Source organism: Homo sapiens, chromosome 2, assembly GCF_000001405.40.
Source record: "Homo sapiens chromosome 2, GRCh38.p14 Primary Assembly".
Taxonomy (NCBI): Eukaryota; Metazoa; Chordata; class Mammalia; order Primates; family Hominidae; genus Homo; species Homo sapiens.
Genome location: NC_000002.12, coordinates 241,652,103 through 241,671,263, shown reverse-complemented (window position 1 = coordinate 241,671,263; position 19,161 = coordinate 241,652,103). Strand labels below are relative to the sequence as shown.

Here is a 19,161-nt window from a genome sequence, read left to right as displayed (position 1 = left end):
TGCGGCCAAGAGAAAGGGGCCAGCCGGCCACAGCCAGCGGACAAACCTGTCATCCCATCTCACTGATGAGAAAACAGAGGCAGCTCCACACTAAAGGCTACACGAGAACCCAGTGTGGTGATCAACACACAGCACAGTCTGACCACCACGGCAGAGGGGGGTGGGCCACACGCACTCGGCCGGCGTAGCTCAGCACCCCATCACCACCCCCATCTCAACAGGAGACGGATGAGGACACTGGAAATCCCATTCTAAAGTCAACACGCAACATCCGTCCCCAGGGTTGTTAACTGTGTTGCCAGATGGGCAATCCAGGACGCCCCACCCTGCTCAGCTACATAGCTGTGCCAGGCGGGACAAAGCTCCCCACGGCCCAGTGAGGCTGCCTGAGACCTGGACGCAGGCCTTCGACCCCTGCACGCCCCACTGCCTGTCTCCCTGGGTGGCTCAGCTCGGCTGTGGGTGTGGGGCGGCTACAAACCTTTTTGACTTGCTGGCACCAATCATTGAAGTCATCTTCAGTCTTACAGAAAAACCCCTAAAACGAAATGACGATGAGCAGAACACGACACCCCCATCTGCAGTCGGCTAAGAGGTGGGGGCTTCCATTCCCACTGCCAGTGGCGCAGCAGAGGCCCCCAGCATGCAGGTGCTGGACATTCCAGCCTGCCTTGGCTCCTGTGGCCAGGAACGGAGCTCCGAGGGTGCCCTGTGCATGGTCCCCTGCACCAGTGCCCGGCTCCCCTCAGGCTCCACTGCGTTGCTGTGCCTTGATTCGCCCACGAGATGTTACGTGGTGTGCATCTCTCAAACCTCACCGAGTGTTCCGGGATTGGGGCAGGTTATGAGTTAGGGCCAAGTGGGGAGCTCTTCTCTCTGTGACTGTGAGGCAGGGCCGCTGGGTCTCAGCCTTCGCCCAGCAGCTCCCTGGAAGCTTGGCGGCAAAGGCCACCGAGAACTGCCCAAGGACACCGTGACACAGGGAGCCTCCTGCTGAGGAGCCAGGAGACAGGGGACCGGCCAAGGGTCACCGGCAATCACATCCTTAAAGCTGCCGCCTGTAATGACAGTCACTAGGAATTCTCAACGCTGCCAGATGCGCAGATGTTAACACAAAAAGAAACGAAATGGGGGGAGAAGCTCAAACTGGGCACTCTCTTCCCCTGAAGACACCATTCTGCCGCCTCGGCGCTGGTGTAGGAGCACTCTCCCCCGGGGACAGGGGACATTCCTCCTCCTCACGGGTGAGGACAGTTATCCCACCAGGTGGCCCCTTTGGTCTCAACTCAACGTTCACGCGTCCACTCCTCTGTCTGCGGTGGCTGGCTCTCTAGCCTGACCTGACTGTTAGAGTGCCAATCACTGTAAGCCACCAAGCTGCGTTTACAGTAACAAACATACCTAATTCTAGTTCGACGAGGAATTCGTGACTAGGTTCTGGTAAGAAGTGTGCGCCAGGCTGCGCGCAGTGGCTCACGCCTGTAATCCCAGCACTTTGGGAGGCCGAGGTGGGTGGATCATGAGGTCAGGAGATCAAGACCATCCTGGCTAACACAGTGAAAACCCGTCTCTATTAAAAATACAGAAAATTAGCCAGGCGTGGTGGCGGGTGCCTGTAGTCCCAGCTAATCCAGAGGCTGAGGCAGGAGAATGGCGTGAACCTGGGAGGCGGAGCTTGCAGTGAGCCGAGATCGTGCCACTGCACTCCAGCCTGGGCGACAGAGTGAGACTCCGTCTCAAAAACAAACAAACAAACAAAAAGTGTGAGCCACAGAGCTCCAGCCCATGTTCCCCACTACTGCCACCCTGCCCAGGAGGTGCATGGAGCGTGGTGTGCACTCTGGGGCTGCGCCACAGCTCAGAGACCGTCCCATTTCAGGCCCAGATCTGCCTTCTTCCTCCTAAATGGGGCGGAGCATCCACAACAGAGCCCCCGATTCGGTTAACTGCTTCCCTGAGCATGTCACCGTCATTCATGATTTCTAGGGGGGTTTTTTGGCCTCTTTCCCCATCAAATATATTTGAGGGCAGGCAGGTCTGCATAAATCACACACCAAAAATCACAACTAGGTAATCAAAATGGAAAAACAGGGAAGCTCCTTCTTAGGAAATCCCCCAGAGAGGTCAAGTCAGAGCCTCCGGAAAACAAAAGGTGGTGCAGGAGTGGGTGGGTGGAGGGGCCGCCCGTGTTTAAATGTGGGTGTGACGAAGGTGGTGCAGGGGTGGGTGGAGGGGCCGCCCGTGTGTTTAAATGTAGGTGTGAGGGGGACACACTCACCATGGCTCACACTCATCCATGCACACTCAGCACGCGCCCACACACGCTCACATCCAGACACACGCTCTCTGGGCCACTCGAAGGCCATGAAGGCTGCACAGGAGGTGGTGCCTGGGGGAGGGACGTGAGGGTGCAAGGACACAGTTCCGGCTCTTATACCCTTCAGATTCCCAACCACGTGAACACAGTACTTATCCCAACATGCTGAAAAAAAAAACGCAAAAATCCGAAAGTTTTCCTCGTCATTCCCAAACAGCATTCAGCACCAAATGCCTGTGTGCTCAGGTGGCCGCCACGTACCACAGCGATGGACGGGTCAAGCTCCGCGATGCTCATGCGGCACGGCGGGTGCTGGCAGTGGAAGCTCTCGTCCGGGATGAAGCAGCCATCAGTGGGCTCCACGGCTGGCTGCGTGGTGTGGGGGTCCAGGTAGATGAGCTCCTCACCTGGGAGGATGAGGCAGGTGGGCAGGTGGGTGGCCGAGCCGGCAGAGGAAAGGGACAGAGGAGGCCGCATTTCAGACCCACTGCACCCACATCACACTGAGAAGCAGTGGGCAGGAGGTGGGGAGGGAGCCGAGGGCACCAGACCATCAGGGAAAGGGGCACACAGGAGGCCGCCCGCGACCAGGCTGAAAATGAACCCCAGGGCATGCTGCTTTTCCACCAGTGGCCTCAAGTGGTCACCTGGGGTGTGGTACCTGCTCATGGAATGCCCTTAAAAGGCCCAGGCCCACAGGGACACGGTGGGAACCCTGGACTCACCAACGTAGCCGATGAAGTAGTGGGCGCTGTTGGGCTTCCCTCCGATGACGCCCAGGGACTGGGGCATCATGAAGCAGTGCTGTGGAGGGGCGGGGGACTGAGCACAGGTCCCAGGTGGGAGCAGACGGTCCCCCCACCCACTGCCATAGGGGGCCCAAGGGCCTGCTGAGGCCCAACTGGGTGACACAAGAGGGGACAGGAGGGGACATGGTACCAAAGAGCTTACTGTCCAGGAAAGACCACAGGACATCCCACAGGCACAAGAAACCCAATCTGCAGGCTCAGCTCAGGGAAGCTTCATGTCAGAGGTGGGCTTTGGGGAGGCCGGGAGTGAGGGGGCCTGGCAGGAGATGTGAGCAGGGGTGCGGGAGGTGGCCCTGCTGAGTGCTTTGACCTGACAGGGCAGAAGCGATGGAGACGGGGCCTATGTGTGGGGGCAGCTGAGACCCCACAGGATGGGCAGAAGGCTGGACGGAGGGGCCAAGTTCAGACAACTGAATAATTTTAACAGGAAGCCACATTTCAGTTCCATACAAATGTGACTCCTTGGTCTAAAATTTGAGTTACCTGAAGAAAGGATGGTTTTCCCTTCTGCTTGCTTTTTTTTTTTTTTTATTTGAGATGGAGTCTCACTCTGTCACCCAGGATGGAGTGCAATGGCATGATCTCGGGTCACTGCAAGCTCCGCCTCCTGGGTTCAAGAGATTCTCCTGCCTCAGCCTCCTGTGTAGCTGGGACTACAGGCGCGCACCACCATGCCCGGCTAATTTTTATATTTTTAGTAGAGACAGGGTTTCACCATGTTGGCCAGGCTGGTCTCAGACTCCTGACCTCGTGATCTGCCCGCTTTGCCCTCCCAAAGTGCTGGGATTACAGTCATGAGCCACCGCTCCCCGCCCCCTTTTGCTTTCATGACATGGGGGAGCCTGTGGCTGGAGCTCCTCACACAGCCCTGCCCATCCCCAGGCCCTGCCCACACGTCCCTTCCTCACAGGCCAACCCACCCTCCGAAGGGACCTCAGGCCAAGAGGGCTGTGGGGGAGTGGGGTGGGCATGCCTGGGGCACAGTGGAGACCCGGGAGGGGGCGGGGCTCCCCGTCAGGCCGAGGAGTGGCACCTGGTTCCAAGGACCCCCTGCAAGCGCCTCATGCTTTCATCCTCGACACTCGCCTTGACACTTGCAGAACGAAAGCAGCACGTGCCTACTGATGGACGTGCCTCACGCCCACTCACCCCTTGGGCAACGGTGTAAACCAGGGTTGTTTACCCCTCCCCCGAGAGCCGGCTGCACAAATGGCCACGTGACGACGATGCGCTGAAAGTGACTAAGAACTGGGAGAAGGGGACGGGGACTCAGGGCAAGCGCCGCACGGCAGGACCCACCTTCAGCGTCTCCACGTAGGCCTCGTTGATGTCCGTGAGCCCCAGGCGCAGGGGAATGAGAAGTACCAGGGGTCTCCATGGCGACGGCCTGTTGGTGACCTCAGCTCCGGCAGGGAATCCGTTGCAGTGCCGGTCGGAATCTGCAGGAAACGCAGTGGCGCCTGCACAGGGAACGCTGGTCCTGCACAACCTTCCTAGAAAGGGAGACATGCTTTCACTAACCAAGCAGACCTGTGCAAAAGTGCTCCCACAACAAGCAAGCAAATGATGACTGTGTAACAGAAAAAGGGCGGTACAAAGCCAGGTGCTTACAGTGAAATTCAAACTTGGAAAATATAGAAAAGCGTAAGAAAATTTTTTCATAATCTTGCCACCCAGAGAAAAAAGAAATAGTTTCTATGCATACTTAATTCAAGAGTTTTATTGTGAAATAAAGCACACACACGAAACAGTGCAAGAAAAAGCCACGTGCACTTGAGAGGAAAATCACAGAAGTACCCACGCAGCCTGCCAGCCTGGCTAGTGCCAGCACAGCCAGAACCCGCTCCCTCCGGGCCTCCTCAGCAACGCCTTTCCTCGCTTCCACCCCTTCTGCCTACACACACCCGTGAGTCAATGGTCCGGAGGACACATCAACCGGAGGGTGCGGTGATGGGAGAAGACACTCCGGGAGCATGGAGCATGCCCGGCGTCTAGATCGAGGTTTCTCAACACCACTCCCCACTCAGAGGAGCCAGGCTGATTCCAGGGCCAGGCAGGGAATGTTCAGAGGTGCCTGCAGCATCTGCTTAACCCAGAACATAAGGGAGGGCTCAAAACATAAACGAAAAACGCCAGAACACGGCAAAAGACACCACCAGACTGAGGTGGCCACCGGCCAAAGGTGGAACCGTCAAGCATCAAAAAGATGGACAGTGACAGGTGACAGTGACAGTGACAGGTGACAGTGACTGACAGGTGACAGACAGGTGACAGGTAGCACACTGCACACTAAGTGATGGGAGAAAAGGCGGCTCTTCTCAGAACGCCAACCAATAAACGTGAAAGGAAAGGACAGGCTAGAAAAACCACCATTATCAGGCAGGAGTCACACAGCTCACCAGGACATGCTCAGTGTCACCACTGGATTATTCATTAATTACAAAGGAAAAAAGACACCATCTCCGGGGATCTGACATAGTGTCCCACTGCAGGCCCCGGATGGGAGAGCAGAGGACACTGCCACCCAGAGGCTACTCTCAGCCACAGGCTCAACCCAAGCCCAACTGTGAGGAAGCAGACAAATCCAGCGTGTGGGATGGTCAGCTGACCTGAACTCGTCAAAAATGCCACAAAGCAGCAACAACCACAACAAAGAGGCAGAACCTTCTCAATTAAAGACTAGAAAGACATCACAACTATATACACACAGCACCGGACCCTCAACCAGGAACACAAATCAGCGGCACGGGTTGTTCCCTGGACAGCAAGGGGCCAAGACGGACCCTGGTGAGTCGTGGCGTCACCTCTTTTGTGGTGATGAGGCTGTGTGGCTCTCAGGAACACTCTCATTCGTAGGAGGCTTGCTCATAAAAACCAAGCGTGTCAAAACACAATTGGTGGATCTAGGTGGAGGGTTTGTGGCCATGACTCACTGAACTTTTTTGTAGGACTCAAATTTCTCAAAACAGACAGCTGGAAAACAAGGATTCTGAGACAGAACTTTTTAAATTTCTTTTAGAGACGGGGTCTCACTCTGTCACCCAGGCTGCAGTGCAGTGGTGCAACCACAGCTCACTGCAGCCTCAAACACCTGCACTTAAGCAATCCTCCCGCCTCAGCCTCCCGAGTAGCTGGAACAACAGGTGTGGGCCACTGTGCCCCCTGACTTTTCTTTTTTGAAGCCGATTCTCTGTTGTCCAGGCTGGAGTGCAGTGGCATAATCTCGGTTCACTGCAACCTCCGCCTTCTGGGCTCAAGCAATTCTCCTGCCTCAGCCTCCCCAGTAGCTGGGATTACAGGTGTGTGTCACCACGCCCAGCTAATTTTTGTATTTTTAGTAGAGACGGGGTTTTGCCACATTGGCCGGGCTGGTCTCGAACTCCTGACCTCAAGTGATCTGCTCACCTCAGCCTCCCGAAGTGCTGAGATTACAGACATGAGCCATGTGCCTGGCCTCATTTTTCTATTTCTTATAGAGAGGGAGTTGTCCAGGTTGGTCTCAAGCAATCCTCCAACTCAGCCTCCCTGAGAGGTGCGATTATGGGTAGGAGCTACCACGCCCAGCCTTAAGGGAGTTGTTTGGGTTTCTGTTTGGTTTTTGAGACAGGGTCTTACTGTGTCACCCAGGCTGGAGTGAAGTGGTGCAATCATGTCTCACTGCAGCCTCAACCTCCCAGGCTCATGGGATCCTCCCACCTCAGACTCCCGAGTAGGTGGGACTACAGGTACATGCCCCCATGTCCGGCTAGTTTTTTTGTTTTGTTTTTTTGTAGAGATGAGGTTTTACCATGTTACCTAGGCGGCTGGTCTCAAACTCCTGGACTCAAGCAATCTGCCTGCCTCCACCTCCCAAAGTGCTAGGATTACAGGCGGGAGCCACAGTGCTTAGCCAAGGGAGGGATTTTAACTTTGATTTTTTTAAAACATATATGTTATTGCTTCAAAGAGCCAGTTCTAGTATGTGTTAGTTCTAATAAATTTAATTTTAAAATTTATTTTTAAAATATTTTATAGAATGAGGTCCAGGCACGGTGGCTCACGCCTGTAATCCCAGCACTCTGGGAGGCCAAGGTGGGCAGATCATGAGGTCAGGAGATCAAGACCATCCTGGCCAACATGGTGAAATATGGTGAAACCCCATCTCCACTAAAATACAAAAAATTAGCCAGGCGTGGTGGCATGCACCTGTAGTCTCAGCTACTCAGGAGGCTGAGGCAGGGGAATCACTTGAACCTGGGCAGCGGAAATTGCAGTGAGCCAAGATCGTGCCACCACTGCACTCCAGCCTGGCGACAGAGCAGAACTGTTCCAAAAAAAAAAAAAAAATAGACGTCTGGCTATGTTGCCCAGGCTGGTCTTGAATTCCTGGCTTTAAGCAATCCTCCTGCCTCAGCCTCACAAAGTGCTGGGATTACAAACATGAGCCACTACACCTGGCCTAATACATTTCTTCCTTTAAATCATTAATTTCTGTATTTGTCTTTAATATTATTCTTTGGTTTCTTCAGTTAATTTTGCTTTTTCCGAATTCTTGAGTTGTATGCTTATTTCATTAATTTTCACTTTGTAAAGAACCCATATACTAGTACTGAAGATACACAGGTTTTCTTCTGAGTTCTGTACACATCAGGTTCAGATACATAGTTACGGTCTCTACACTTGACTTTTTTGAGGTTTCACATTTCCAGGCAGCAGGGTTTTGTCCTTTTTTCATTTTATTCCGCATTAGTTTCATAGAAATTCCCAGGCACACTCTGCTGTCACAATCTAGGGTTTGACACGTATCTACTAAACTCTGCCTGTTGTGTTATCTGGGTCCCCTGTAGCTTTGATCTTTCCATAGCTAATCTGTTAATTATTCTGTTTTCTATATATTTTTATTATTTTTTGTTGTTTTGGTTTTTTGAGACACAGTCTTACTGTGTCACACAGGCTGGAGTGCAGTGGCATGATCTCAGCTCACTGTAGCCTCTGCCTCCCAGGTTCAAGCAATTCTCGTGCCTCAGCTTCCCGAGCAGCTGGGATTACGAGGGCGTGCCACCATGCCCAGCTAACTTTTTTTTTAGTAGACATGGGGTTTTACGATGTTGACCAGGCTGGTCTTTAACTCCTGACCTCATGTGATCTACCCACCTTGGCCTCCCGAAGTGCTGGGATTATAGGCGTGAGCCACCGCGCCCGGCCCGCTTTATTGGTTTTGAAGTTGGGATTATAGGCGTGAGCCACCATGCCCGGCCCGCTTTATTGATTTTGAAGTTGGGATTATAGGCGTGAGCCACCGCGCCCGGCCCACTTTATTGGTTTTGAAGTTGGGATTATAGGCGTGAGCCACCGCGCCCGGCCCGCTTTATTGATTTTGAAGTTGGGATTATAGGCGTGAGCCACCATGCCCGGCCCACTTTACTGATTTTGAAGTTATGTTTTGATAGAAAGGCTTCCCGGTGGTGAGTTTCCTGCTGACTGGTGCTTTGTTACCTGCACAGACCCTACTGTCTCAGGAATATGATCGAACACATGAATCGGCTCAAGGGCTGATGCGTAGCTGGGCCGGTTGCTTCTGTGCCTCCAGAGCCCAGCACTGAGTGTGTGACCTACCACGTCACAAACACCCTGCTGTCAACAGGGTGCAACGGGCTTTTGCCTATTCCTGCCACCACCTGAAATTTTCTCGTGTTCTCTTTATATTTTGAACACATTTAAAATTTATATTTCTCTATCAATGACAACTACACAGTACACATACCTACTCTCACCTCATGAAGCCAGGTCTTTTCTCAGAATTCTAAACATTTTCCAGTAGCATTTGGTATGGCACAAAGATGAGATGCCCAGGCCAGTTGAGACTGCCTTTCTTCAAAGCAGCTTAGTAGTGATACTATTATTTGGATGTTTAGAGAAGTTTCCCTTTACTTCTGCAATTTGGAAATATTATCAGGAACATGTATGTTTAAGTACTTCTGATAAAAAAATTTGGGGGTCTTTAGCTCTAAAGACTCAACTCTCACCAACTCAGGGGAATTTTCTCCTACTCCTTCAGTGGCCAACTCTCCCGAAAAGTTCTAATCCACATACTCTGCTCTCAGCTGCCTCTATTTGGCTGCACTGCCTCTCAGAGAGTTGAGTTCCAGCTATTGTGATTCTCCTCCCCACTCTGTTTCTGACTGTGCTTGCTCTGGTATTTACTTTTCTTTCATTGGAGTCATTTGTCCTCACTGCCAGACTGACACGTTTTCCAATCTGTATTTCCTCCCTACATTCAGTGACATTCTGTCTACTGTCGTTAGAAAGGTCTAAGCCCATCAACGTTAAGGACAAGAAGAGCATGCTAAGGATGTCCTGGCTGGCCTTTGACTGGGGGTGGACAGAAGGATGAGTTGCGGGGGGGATGGGTTGGTGGATGGGGACACTGTAGGCAGTAAGGTCTCCCCTTACCCCACAGGCTTCACCTAAAATCTGAGTGGGAACACCGTCAGGCAGCTCTTTCGCTGCAGGAAGAAGCTTTAGTGGAATTTCTGAATGGCATCAGTCTTCTCCTATCTAACTGCTCCTTCCACAAGCAGTTCCGAGAAACTAGAAGAAAAGTCCTTGCTTAGCCAAGGACACGTCTGTTTCTCTAGCTTCGGCTTTGCGGACTTCTTCCTCAGACGTCCTCCCTTGCGCACTCTTAGCAGCACGACTGAAAAAAGCAGCCTGCTTCCTGCCCTCCCCCCACTACTCCCTCCTGGGGCTTTTGGTAGGGGTCATTCAGAACGACCCCGATGTCCTCCTCACAACACCACGCCACACTCAGGAACCCAGAAACCCAAGCCTTGTGCATCAATGCCAGTGCCTTTGCTGGCTGGATGTGGATGCCTTTCTTCCTAAATGGGGGCATCAGGCACCTTCCACATGCTCCTGTGAGGAACAGTGTCCTTTCAGGCAGCTGACGCAGTGAGACGAAGCCAGTCAGACCAGGCAGCCTCCACATCCTCCCGGGAGCCACCATCCCCAGGGGCTGGGAAATGCAGATTCAAGCTCTTCCAGGACCTGACTCCACTCTCACTCTGACAAGCCACGTTTCAGCAGCACTGCTTTGGGCAGCCCTGAGACTCCCGAAGGGACGGAGCTGGAGTCCACACAGACAAGCTGCCCCCAACACTCCCACCAGTGCTACCTGCACCCAGAGGGACGGAGGTTCTAGGAAGCCCTGACCCTTGCGCCTTCCTGGCCACTGCACCCAGCAACAGCCTCCCTAATCCGAGGCCAGGGACTGAGGTGTGACTTGGTGAGATCCTGAGCACGCGTGCGGAACGAGGGGGTAAGTGATTTCCCCAAACACGGGAGGGAGGATGGGGCAGTGAACAGGGAACTAAGGTATAATAGTATATTGTGTAGCCAGTTAATAATTACAATGCTGTCACTCATGGCCAGGAGAAAATACTTAGGAAACTATGTAAGTTTTTGAAAAGCACAGGAGAAATACTGAGAGTAAGAATGTCAAAATGCTCATATGAGTTATTTCTGAGTGGTAAAATCAATAATTTTTCTCTTTCTTTGTACTCTTCCTGTGTTTCCAATGTTTTATAAAAATTTCAAGAAACAGAATGGAGGAAAAAGGCAGATGGAAGAAACAAACACCCTTTGGTTATGATCCCAAGTTCAAGTCTCTGAGGAACAGAATCCTGGAAGGAGAGCCTGCTGTGGCAAAGCTCTCAATGCTGCAGAAGCCAGCCTCACTCTCCCTTATAAAGTCCTGCCTCACTCCCTCCGCTGTGTCACAATGCCCCCGAGGATGGCCAGACGATGAAGAAACAGAATGGAGAGGCAGGGAAGGGGCGTGTCTGTGACCCAGCACACACCTGTGTGGTGACCTGGCACACCCACAGTCACAGGGCAGGACCCACTCCCACTGTGAATCTGTGCGCAGTTACGGCTGTGGCTCTGAATGAGGTCTTTTTTTTGGGGGGCGGGGGACGGATTCTCGCTCTGTGGCCAGGCTGGAGTGCAGTGGCGTGATCAAGGCTCACTGCAACCTCCGCCTCCCAGGTTCAAGCGATTCTTCTGCCTCAGCCTCCCGAGTAGCTGGGACTATAGGCGCGTGCCACCATGCCCAGCTAGTTTCTGTATTTTTAGTAGAGACGGGGTTTCACCATGTTGGCCAGGCTGGTCTTGAACTCCTGACCTCATGATCCACCCACCTCGGCCTCCCAAGGTGCTGGGATTACAGGCATGAGCCACCGCGCCCGGCCTAAATGAGCTCTTTCTTATGGAAAATTGGATTCAAGGCAATAGCCTACATGTAGAACTTCAATAAAATTGGAATTGAGGGAGTTTTGAGAAGTTCCTTGGGAAAAAGGTGGCCCTGAGTGAAAAAGGCAATGAGGCATTTTTAAGAGTTCTCAGCTTGGCTACATCATGGAAGGTGAAACATGAATTTGGAACTCACTCAATGAGCCCATTTGTTAAAACTGAGCCACAGTTTTCCTCCTAGATGTAAATGTTGCCACGCCCAGGTTCCTTCAGGGTTGCAGCAGACCTTTCTTCCAGAAAGCTGAAAAGAGCTCTGCCTTCACGACGTGCCTTTGCTCGAGATGGTGCAGCTAGAGATGGTTGCTACATCTCTCTGTCGCACATCAAGGCACGCAAAATAACTTCACCAGAATTCCCACACGAGGGCGCCTAAGCACAGCAGGGCCTTCATAAACGATTTGTAACCAAGACACAAAACACGACGTGAGATACCAAGTCGCGGCCTCCAGACAGCCTGGGCTCTCCTCTCTTGGTATGACCGCCGGGATAGGAGAGCGAGGCCACCGTGCATCTGGCTTGGCGCACAGGCCCCACGGAGCACCTGCACGGCATGGGGCGACTGACAACACTCGCCGAGGCTCCCGTGGGGACTCAGGCGAGGAAGTGTGTATGTTGCCCGTGATTTCAACTTTCTTGTCCATGGAAACTCTGAGCCACTTACTGATTTCCTCCATCACAACAGTGTTGTCCATTGCAATGTGGACCGCCAAGGAGCTCCACGTATCGAAGACAGCAAGCTTCCTACAGAGAGTAGGAGAATGACCATAAGCTTTTGTACAATTCAAAGACGGTTCATCTTTGCAGCTATAGCTGCGCGAAGGAGGGTTCGCGTTAGAGGTGCTTCTCGGATGAGAAGGGCCAAGGCTCCTAAAATCCGGGGCACAGCCAATGCCACAGACAGGAAGAAAGCTGAGGGTAAATCTGCTTCTTCTCGCCTGAGGCCCAGGGGTCCTGCCCTTGCCCCAGCCTCCATTCATAGAGAGCACACGCAAGAGGCTTTTGAGTGGCCTGGTTTTCTGGTCTCACTGGCACAGAGGCAGGAACTAGAACATGAACGCAGCTCTGAGACGCTGTGGGTTTTGCCAACTTTGAGGCAGGCCTCCCAGCACCTTCACGCTCTGCTCTGCTCTCCCCTCCACCAAACACGCTGAGCTGACAACCAAGGAATCTGAGTCCTTATAGAGAAATCTGCAGCTTAGTGGGAAGCACGACTGTGCACGCCAGTGAGGAGGAACCATGGCCTTGGATTTCCCCTTCTGAGGGAAGGGCAGATTCTGCAGCCAAAAGTCTAACACGACTCTGATCTCATCTCAGGTCTGGCGGAGGTGGGGTCAGAGGACCTCAACAAAAGGTAAAACAATAGAAAAGGCCCTGAGGCAGCAAAGACCTGGTGCTCCCGGGGACAGAATGCAAGACCTGTGGAGGGGAGCTGGGTGGGGGTGGAGCAGGGGACTGGGGTGACCACACAGAGCCCCTCCCAATGCACAAGCCCAGGGGGGACACTGGGAGGACAGCCTGCCCCCCACTGCCCCCCTGCCCCACCACCTTCCTCCTCCCATCTCCAGCCCAGCTGCAGTGCTGAAGATGGGAGGACAGCCTGCTTCCCCGCCCCACTCCCACACCACCTTCCTCCTCCCACCTCTAGCCCAGATGCAGTGCCGAAGACGCACCCACACACAAGGGACACAGCAGCACTGGCAAAGCTGACCTGGCGGAGGGCAAACAAGGAAGCAGCAGCCACGTGGGCCGGTGGTCAACACTGCAGAGAACAGTAACGCAGGAACGGGGAGTGGCACTACTAACGTAGCCACAGGGAAGACCTTGGTGCCAAAGGGTACCTGGGCAGACATGGGGCGCAACCCAGGCAGGTGTCGGGGGAACAGGGTCCAAGTGCCAGGCACCACACATGCAAAGGCCCTGAGGCTGGTGTGTCCCAGGAGCACAACGTGTCATGCCAGGGAGGTCGGGTAGAGCCCCGCCTGAGTCAGCAGTGAAGAGCCAGGGCGGTTCAAGGCAGAGCAGTGGCCAATATGTTTTATGCAGATGGCTCTGCTGTTATTTGCTAAAGAGACTCTAGGATGACAAAGAGAGAAGGAAGATCAACAAGAAAGAAGAAGATGGGGCTGGGACCAGCACAGGGAGTGAAAGGATGAACACTGGTCAGAGTCTGGACATATTTTGAATGGGCCCACTGAAAGAAAGAGGAATTGATATTTTGAATGGGCCCACTGAAATAAAGAGGAATTGGCCAGGAGCGGTGGCTCATGCCTGTAATCCCAGCACTTTGGGAGGATGAGGCAGGTGGATCACGAGGTCAGGAGTTCAAGACCAGCCTGGCTAACATGGTGAAACCTTGTCTCCACTAAAAATACAAAAATTAGTTGGGCATGGTGGCATGTGCCTATAATCCCAGCTACTGAAGAGGCTAAGGCAGGAGAATTGCTTGAACTGGGACCCGGGAGGCGGAGGTAGCAGTGAGCCCAAGATTGCACCACTGCACTCCAGCCTGGACTACAGAGCTAGACTCTGTCTCGGAAAAAAAATAAAAAAAAAAAAAAGAAAGAGAGGAGTCCTGGCCAGGCGCGGTGGCTCACGCCTGTAATCCCAGCACTCTGGGAGGCGAAGGCAGGTGGATCACGAGGTCAGGAGTTCAAGACCAGCCTGGCCAACATGGTGAAACCCCATCTCTACTAAAAATTGAAAAAATTAGCTGGGCATGGTGGCGGGTGCCTGTAATTCCAGGTACTGGGGAGGCTGAGGCAGGAGAACTGCTTGAACCGGGACCCAGGAGGTGGAGGAAGCAGTGAGCCCAAGATTGCACCACTGCACTCCAGCCCAGGCTACTGAGCTAGACTGTCTCAAAAAAAAAGAAAAAAGAGAGGAGTCCTGGCCAGGCACGGTGGCTCACGCCTGTAATCCCAGCACTTCGGGAGGCTGAGGCAGGAGAATCACTTGGGATTCTGAGCAGAGATCATGCCACTACACTCCAGCCTGGCGACAGAGCGAGACTCCGTCTCAAAAAGAGGGGTCTAGAACAATCCCAGATTTTGGTTTGAGCACCTGAAGGACCACTGTAGGAGAAGCAGGCTGGGGCCAGCACGGGCTCTGGCTGTCAGGTCACCATGCACACAGATACCCAGGTGGAAATGCAGAATAAGCAGCTGGACCTGAGCTTGGAGTCCAGGGACAAATCAGCCCTGGAAGCCGTCCATGTGCCTGAGTGCCACAGCACTTGCAGGTTGGGGAGGATCATCCAGCAACAGGGGCGGGGGCTGGTGGGGAGCAGGCAGGGGACCAGGAGAAACAGCGAGCATGGCGAGTGGCCTGGTGCTTCCAGAGAAACAGCGCTGACTTGGTGGGGCCACTCCAGGCAGCAGCAAGAGAAGTGTGAGTGGAAGGGTGTGGTGGGGGCTGGGGAGCTGCTGGACAGAGGACTCTGAAGGGCATGCAGTAGGGACTGAGCAGGTGCCACGCCAAACACAGGGCGGGCCCTGGAGACAGAGGGAGCAGCAGGCTGGGGATGTGGGACGGGGGTGACGTGGGACGCGGGTGACGTGGGATGTGGCAGAGACGGACTTGTGCAGGACCCCAGGGAACCTGACAGAAAAGCTGGGTGGAGACAGTGACTGCCATGCTGAGGAGCAGGCTGTGGGTGAGGGGAGACAGGGCCATTTCAGGAATGTGGAACGTGGGATGCCTGAGGGCCTTGAGTGGGATACAGAACAGGCAGATGCAGAAGGAGAGGCTTCAAGGGGGCCGTGGCTGAAGACAGGCTGGGGAGACGCTGGCCCTCAGACCAGTGGGGAGGAGACCCTGAGGGGACAAGTCCTGGGGGATCTGGCCAGAGCCTCCCCAAAAATGCTGGGATGCCAGGACACATGGAATCAGACCAAATGACCCTGGATGGGTCAAGAGGAGTGAAGAGTGGACACGAAGCTGAAACCACAGGCAAGTTTCTGGAACTGCAGGGAAGGTCATCTCAGAGGAATCTGGGGGGCGGGCACGCAATGGGGCTGAGTGAGGTGCGAAAGGAAGCGGTGCGGAGCAGGTGCAGAGCACACTTTCAGACGCTGAGGTGTATGGGAAGGTGAGCGAGGCTACAGGGAGTCTCCGGGTAGAGTGAGAAAGGCAGGTGGCAAGGCCCGCGGAGGGCAGCCTCCAACAAGCCTGCAGAGGTGGAAGGGCCCGGCACCCGCACAGATGGCTGCAGACTAGCTTCAGCTGCCCACCCCATCAGAAGCCACCATTACAGGTGGATCCATGCAGCAAAGAACAAGGGTCCAATGTGCCAGCCAGGATGTGGACTACGGTGTTCATTTTGTTAGAAAACATAAATTCCTATTCACAAGACCTCAACACAGTCATCGCTGAGAAACCTTCTGAGGGCCATGAAGTAAATAATTAGAGACCCCTTATTTCCTGTAGCCATGAAGACTCAAGGAGAATTTAACCCCCAGGGAACATCCCTGCTGCCCCATGCTCAGCAGTGGAAGCGCAGTACATACTTCAGGACCTGGGCGACAGTGTTGGGCCCGTACCACTGGCCTATGGACTTGCCTTCGCCAACTCCCATTTGCGCTGCAGGGAACAGATACACATTAGCAACACACACCCGCCCCCAGCCCTGACCTCTGGTGGCACGTGGTGCCAGGAGACACGTCACAGGAAGGCCTGGACAGCACCCGACCCAGCCTCCAGACGGAAGGATGCCCCAACAAGATCGGGGGAGGCATGAGGGGGCAAACAAGGTCTCAGGGACTGTCCTTCACTATGAACTTAGAAAAGGAGGGGAAATGAAGGGACCACTTCCTTCTATAAGTGAAAACACAGTGCTCAAAAGCCGGCCTTGCTTGCAAGAAAGGCCAACTCTTCTTTACTCACTCCACTTCAATCTGAGCATTCAGATTCACTGATGGGGCGAGGCCAATTTCCCCAGACTGTGCCGAGCACCAGGCACTGCAAGCCGCATGGACAGCAGGAAGGGCAAGGCCCAGGGTCTGGGCCTGGGTGGGACGGGGGTGATGTGGGATGACACGGGGGTGATGTGACAGCAGCGCACAGATGGTCAGAGGTCAGTGTTTACAGGTTTACAGCCTCCTGCTCCACATCCCACGACACCAGAAAAGCTCTGAGGGGAAACCGACCACTCCACCCTCTCCAGACAGCCCGGGTGGGGCCTGGCACATTCTGCAGCCTCCCACCTATCTGGTGAATGGAGTAGTAACTGTCCTTCCTGTCGATGAATGCGTTGAGGACGCTGAAGTAGCTGTCTGGCTGCCTCTTCCTTTGTGTCCACCTCCAATCTATTGGAAAAAAAATTACAGGTCAGCTCTACCATAAATATGAGAAACAAGTTTTCACTTTCACACTAAAGATACAGATGGCATCCAAACCTTTTTCAGAATCTTTTTTTTTTTTTTTTTTTTTTTAAACAGAGTCTCGCTCTCTCACCCAGGATGGAGTGCAATGGCGTGATCTCGGCTCACTGCAACCTCCACCTCCCGGGTTCAAGCGATTCTCCTGCTTCAGCCTCCCGAGTAGCTGGGACTACAGGCACATGTCACCAAGCCTAGCTAATTTTTGTGTTTTTAGTAGAGATGGGGTTTCACCATGCTGGCCAGGATGGTCTTGATCTCCTGACCTCGTGACCCACCCGCCTCGGCATCCCAAAGTGCTGGGATTACAGGCGTGAGCCACCACACCCAGCCCAGAATCTTTTAAAAGTAAAAACCCATGTTCTCCAGGATTTCAAATACATATACGCCAAGTTATCAAAACAAATCTGTACAGAAAACAGTTTCAGTAATTTAAAACATTTATTAGCATTCTTCTTCTTCTTTTTTTTTTTTTTTTTTTTTCAGATAGGGTCTAACTCTGTTGCAGAGGCTGGAGCGCAGTGGTGCGATCTCAGCTCACTGCAGCCTCCATCTCCTGGGTTCTAGCAATTCTCCACATCAGTCTCCGAAGTAGCTGGGACTACAGGCAGGAGCCACCACGCCTGGCTAATTTTTGTATTTTTTGTGAGACGGGGTCTCGCCATGTTGCCCATGCGGATTTATTAGCATTCTTTAAAGTCAGTTTTTTAAATCAAGAAAAACAAGTGGCTCATTACTCAAGAAACCCCCAAGTTCTACTTACTGTTTTACCTGTGGTCTGCTCTAAAGAGCCCTGACCCCACAGTCCCCTTTGCTTCCTGAGAACACCGTGGCCATGCGCCCTCCCCAGGGCTGTGACTCACCTCGGCCTAGGTGCCGGCACACCAGGGCTTGGGCAAAGATCATCTGTCCACACCGCAGCATGCAGCCCCAGCCTGTGTCCGAGGTGGGGCCTGTCCCCCCTGTCGTGGCAGACAGAGAGAGAAGTGCTCATGGCCAGATGGCCCCACAGGCCACAAGCCCACTGGCAGGAGGCAGCCGGTCAGTCCCACACCACAGGCACCGACTCCCTCCTCCATCAGCTCCACCTGGGGCAACACACACCTCTTAGGACTCAGTAACGCCAAGGGCCACATTTACTGGAGAGTGAAATGTCCCGACAACCTCCTCAAAATGGGCAAAACACATGAACAAGTCAGTCACGGAGCAAAAGGAATGTCTGACAAACATATGAAGACACTGACCCCCGTAAGTCATCCAGAAAATGCAAAGTTAAACAAAACAACGCATTTTCCAATTATCAGAAAGGCAGAAATTCAAACGCTTGATGACATCCAGTGCTGCTGAGAGCACAGGAAGGGCCGCAAGGGCAGCAACTCAGCCCTTCCAGCACAGGTGCCTGGGCCCTGCCCTCACGGCCACTCCCTGGGGCCCAGAAAGATGGACAACATGCACCATGGAACTGCGCGGCATGTGACAGGCACGTGGGAAACACTGCCAGCCCATAGCAGGGGTCCAGTGGAAGGCCACTGCACAGCTGTGACAACAGAGAGGGCCACCTGTGCAGCAGACAAGAGGCTGCTAGGTGGCTGCACACCAGGGTGAGAAGCAGAGATTCAGGGGTCAGACCACAAGGTTCGCCCTGTGCCCACCTCTGGGCTTCCGGCAGCTTCTCCATGCACTGGCACGGACAATAAACCCTGTGTCTTGGGGTAGTGGTGGCCGTCACCCACCAACAACCCAATCAGCAGTGCCCATGGTCACCCTCGCTCCACTGCTGATCGCTCTACTGCTGATAAAAACGTATCTCAGAGCCAGGCGTGGTGGTGTGCACCTGTAGTCCCAGACACTCAGGAGGCTGAGGAGGGAGAACTGCTTGAGCCCAGGAGTTCAAGTCCAGCCTGGGCAACATAGCGAAACCCCATCTATTAAAAAAATGAAAGTAATAATTTTAAAAAATTATCTCCGTGGGGCTAAGAAGGAAACACAGCACACTGCCCTTCAGAACTGCGACAGGGCTGCTTCATGTGCAGGCTCATCCCCAGCCTCTACCTCCTCCACAAGGCCTCTGCCAAACCAGAAAGGCTTCGCTCCAGTCCTGTTCTCCTTCCCAGCACGCGGCAGGGTAGCTGTGAAGGAGATGGAGGCTGGGGACAAACCTGCATCCAAGGCGGCCAAGAGAGCAGGTTCAGCGCAGCTGCGAAACAAGCGGAAACTGTGGAATGAGCAACTATTCCCAGGGCACATCTGACAAGGTATGTCATTAAAATATATCATTACATATCAATATTCCCAGGGTACATCTCACAAGGTGTATCATTAAATATCAACCTAAGGAGACACTGTCGTATGTCCCTACGCGTCAGTGTTC

The 19,161-nt window shown here is 53.5% G+C and overlaps 1 protein-coding gene across 8 annotated transcripts in view, besides 6 other annotated features; it reads right to left on the bottom strand.

Moving 5' to 3' along the window:
- The window catches only part of ATG4B (autophagy related 4B cysteine peptidase), a 36,165-nt gene that overhangs the window by 2,594 nt on the left and 14,410 nt on the right, over positions 1–19,161 (bottom strand). For 5 of the 8 annotated variants that reach the window (XM_005246992.5, NM_178326.3, NM_013325.5 and 2 more), the window contains exons 4-11: positions 17,654–17,752; positions 16,617–16,718; positions 15,921–15,993; positions 12,077–12,156; positions 4,426–4,619; positions 3,043–3,121; positions 2,579–2,724; positions 482–538 (exon numbers count right to left, since the gene is read on the bottom strand). In XM_005246992.5, the coding sequence (XP_005247049.2) occupies positions 482–538; positions 2,579–2,724; positions 3,043–3,121; positions 4,426–4,619; positions 12,077–12,156; positions 15,921–15,993; positions 16,617–16,718; positions 17,654–17,752 (830 nt within the window). Of the gene's footprint in view, positions 1–481; positions 539–2,578; positions 2,725–3,042; positions 3,122–4,425; positions 4,620–12,076; positions 12,157–15,920; positions 15,994–16,616; positions 16,719–17,653; positions 17,753–17,894; positions 17,958–19,161 lie in introns of all 8 variants that reach the window. The other 3 variants (XM_047443738.1, XM_047443739.1, XM_047443740.1) reach the window with 2 other exon arrangements.
- Positions 2,079–2,578: an enhancer, noted in NCBI's record as "H3K4me1 hESC enhancer chr2:242608101-242608600 (GRCh37/hg19 assembly coordinates)". NCBI's record gives its function as "activates a minimal SCP1, AML or CMV promoter by ChIP-STARR-seq in naive H9 embryonic stem cells {active_cell/tissue: H9 hESC(naive)}" and the evidence as "EXISTENCE:reporter gene assay evidence [ECO:0000049][PMID:30033119]".
- Positions 2,579–3,080: an enhancer, noted in NCBI's record as "H3K4me1 hESC enhancer chr2:242607599-242608100 (GRCh37/hg19 assembly coordinates)". NCBI's record gives its function as "activates a minimal SCP1, AML or CMV promoter by ChIP-STARR-seq in naive H9 embryonic stem cells {active_cell/tissue: H9 hESC(naive)}" and the evidence as "EXISTENCE:reporter gene assay evidence [ECO:0000049][PMID:30033119]".
- Positions 5,175–5,780: an enhancer, noted in NCBI's record as "H3K4me1 hESC enhancer chr2:242604899-242605504 (GRCh37/hg19 assembly coordinates)". NCBI's record gives its function as "activates a minimal SCP1, AML or CMV promoter by ChIP-STARR-seq in naive H9 embryonic stem cells {active_cell/tissue: H9 hESC(naive)}" and the evidence as "EXISTENCE:reporter gene assay evidence [ECO:0000049][PMID:30033119]".
- Positions 9,639–10,138: an enhancer, noted in NCBI's record as "H3K4me1 hESC enhancer chr2:242600541-242601040 (GRCh37/hg19 assembly coordinates)". NCBI's record gives its function as "activates a minimal SCP1, AML or CMV promoter by ChIP-STARR-seq in naive H9 embryonic stem cells {active_cell/tissue: H9 hESC(naive)}" and the evidence as "EXISTENCE:reporter gene assay evidence [ECO:0000049][PMID:30033119]".
- Positions 10,139–10,640: an enhancer, noted in NCBI's record as "H3K4me1 hESC enhancer chr2:242600039-242600540 (GRCh37/hg19 assembly coordinates)". NCBI's record gives its function as "activates a minimal SCP1, AML or CMV promoter by ChIP-STARR-seq in naive H9 embryonic stem cells {active_cell/tissue: H9 hESC(naive)}" and the evidence as "EXISTENCE:reporter gene assay evidence [ECO:0000049][PMID:30033119]".
- Positions 13,013–13,788: an enhancer, noted in NCBI's record as "H3K4me1 hESC enhancer chr2:242596891-242597666 (GRCh37/hg19 assembly coordinates)". NCBI's record gives its function as "activates a minimal SCP1, AML or CMV promoter by ChIP-STARR-seq in naive H9 embryonic stem cells {active_cell/tissue: H9 hESC(naive)}" and the evidence as "EXISTENCE:reporter gene assay evidence [ECO:0000049][PMID:30033119]".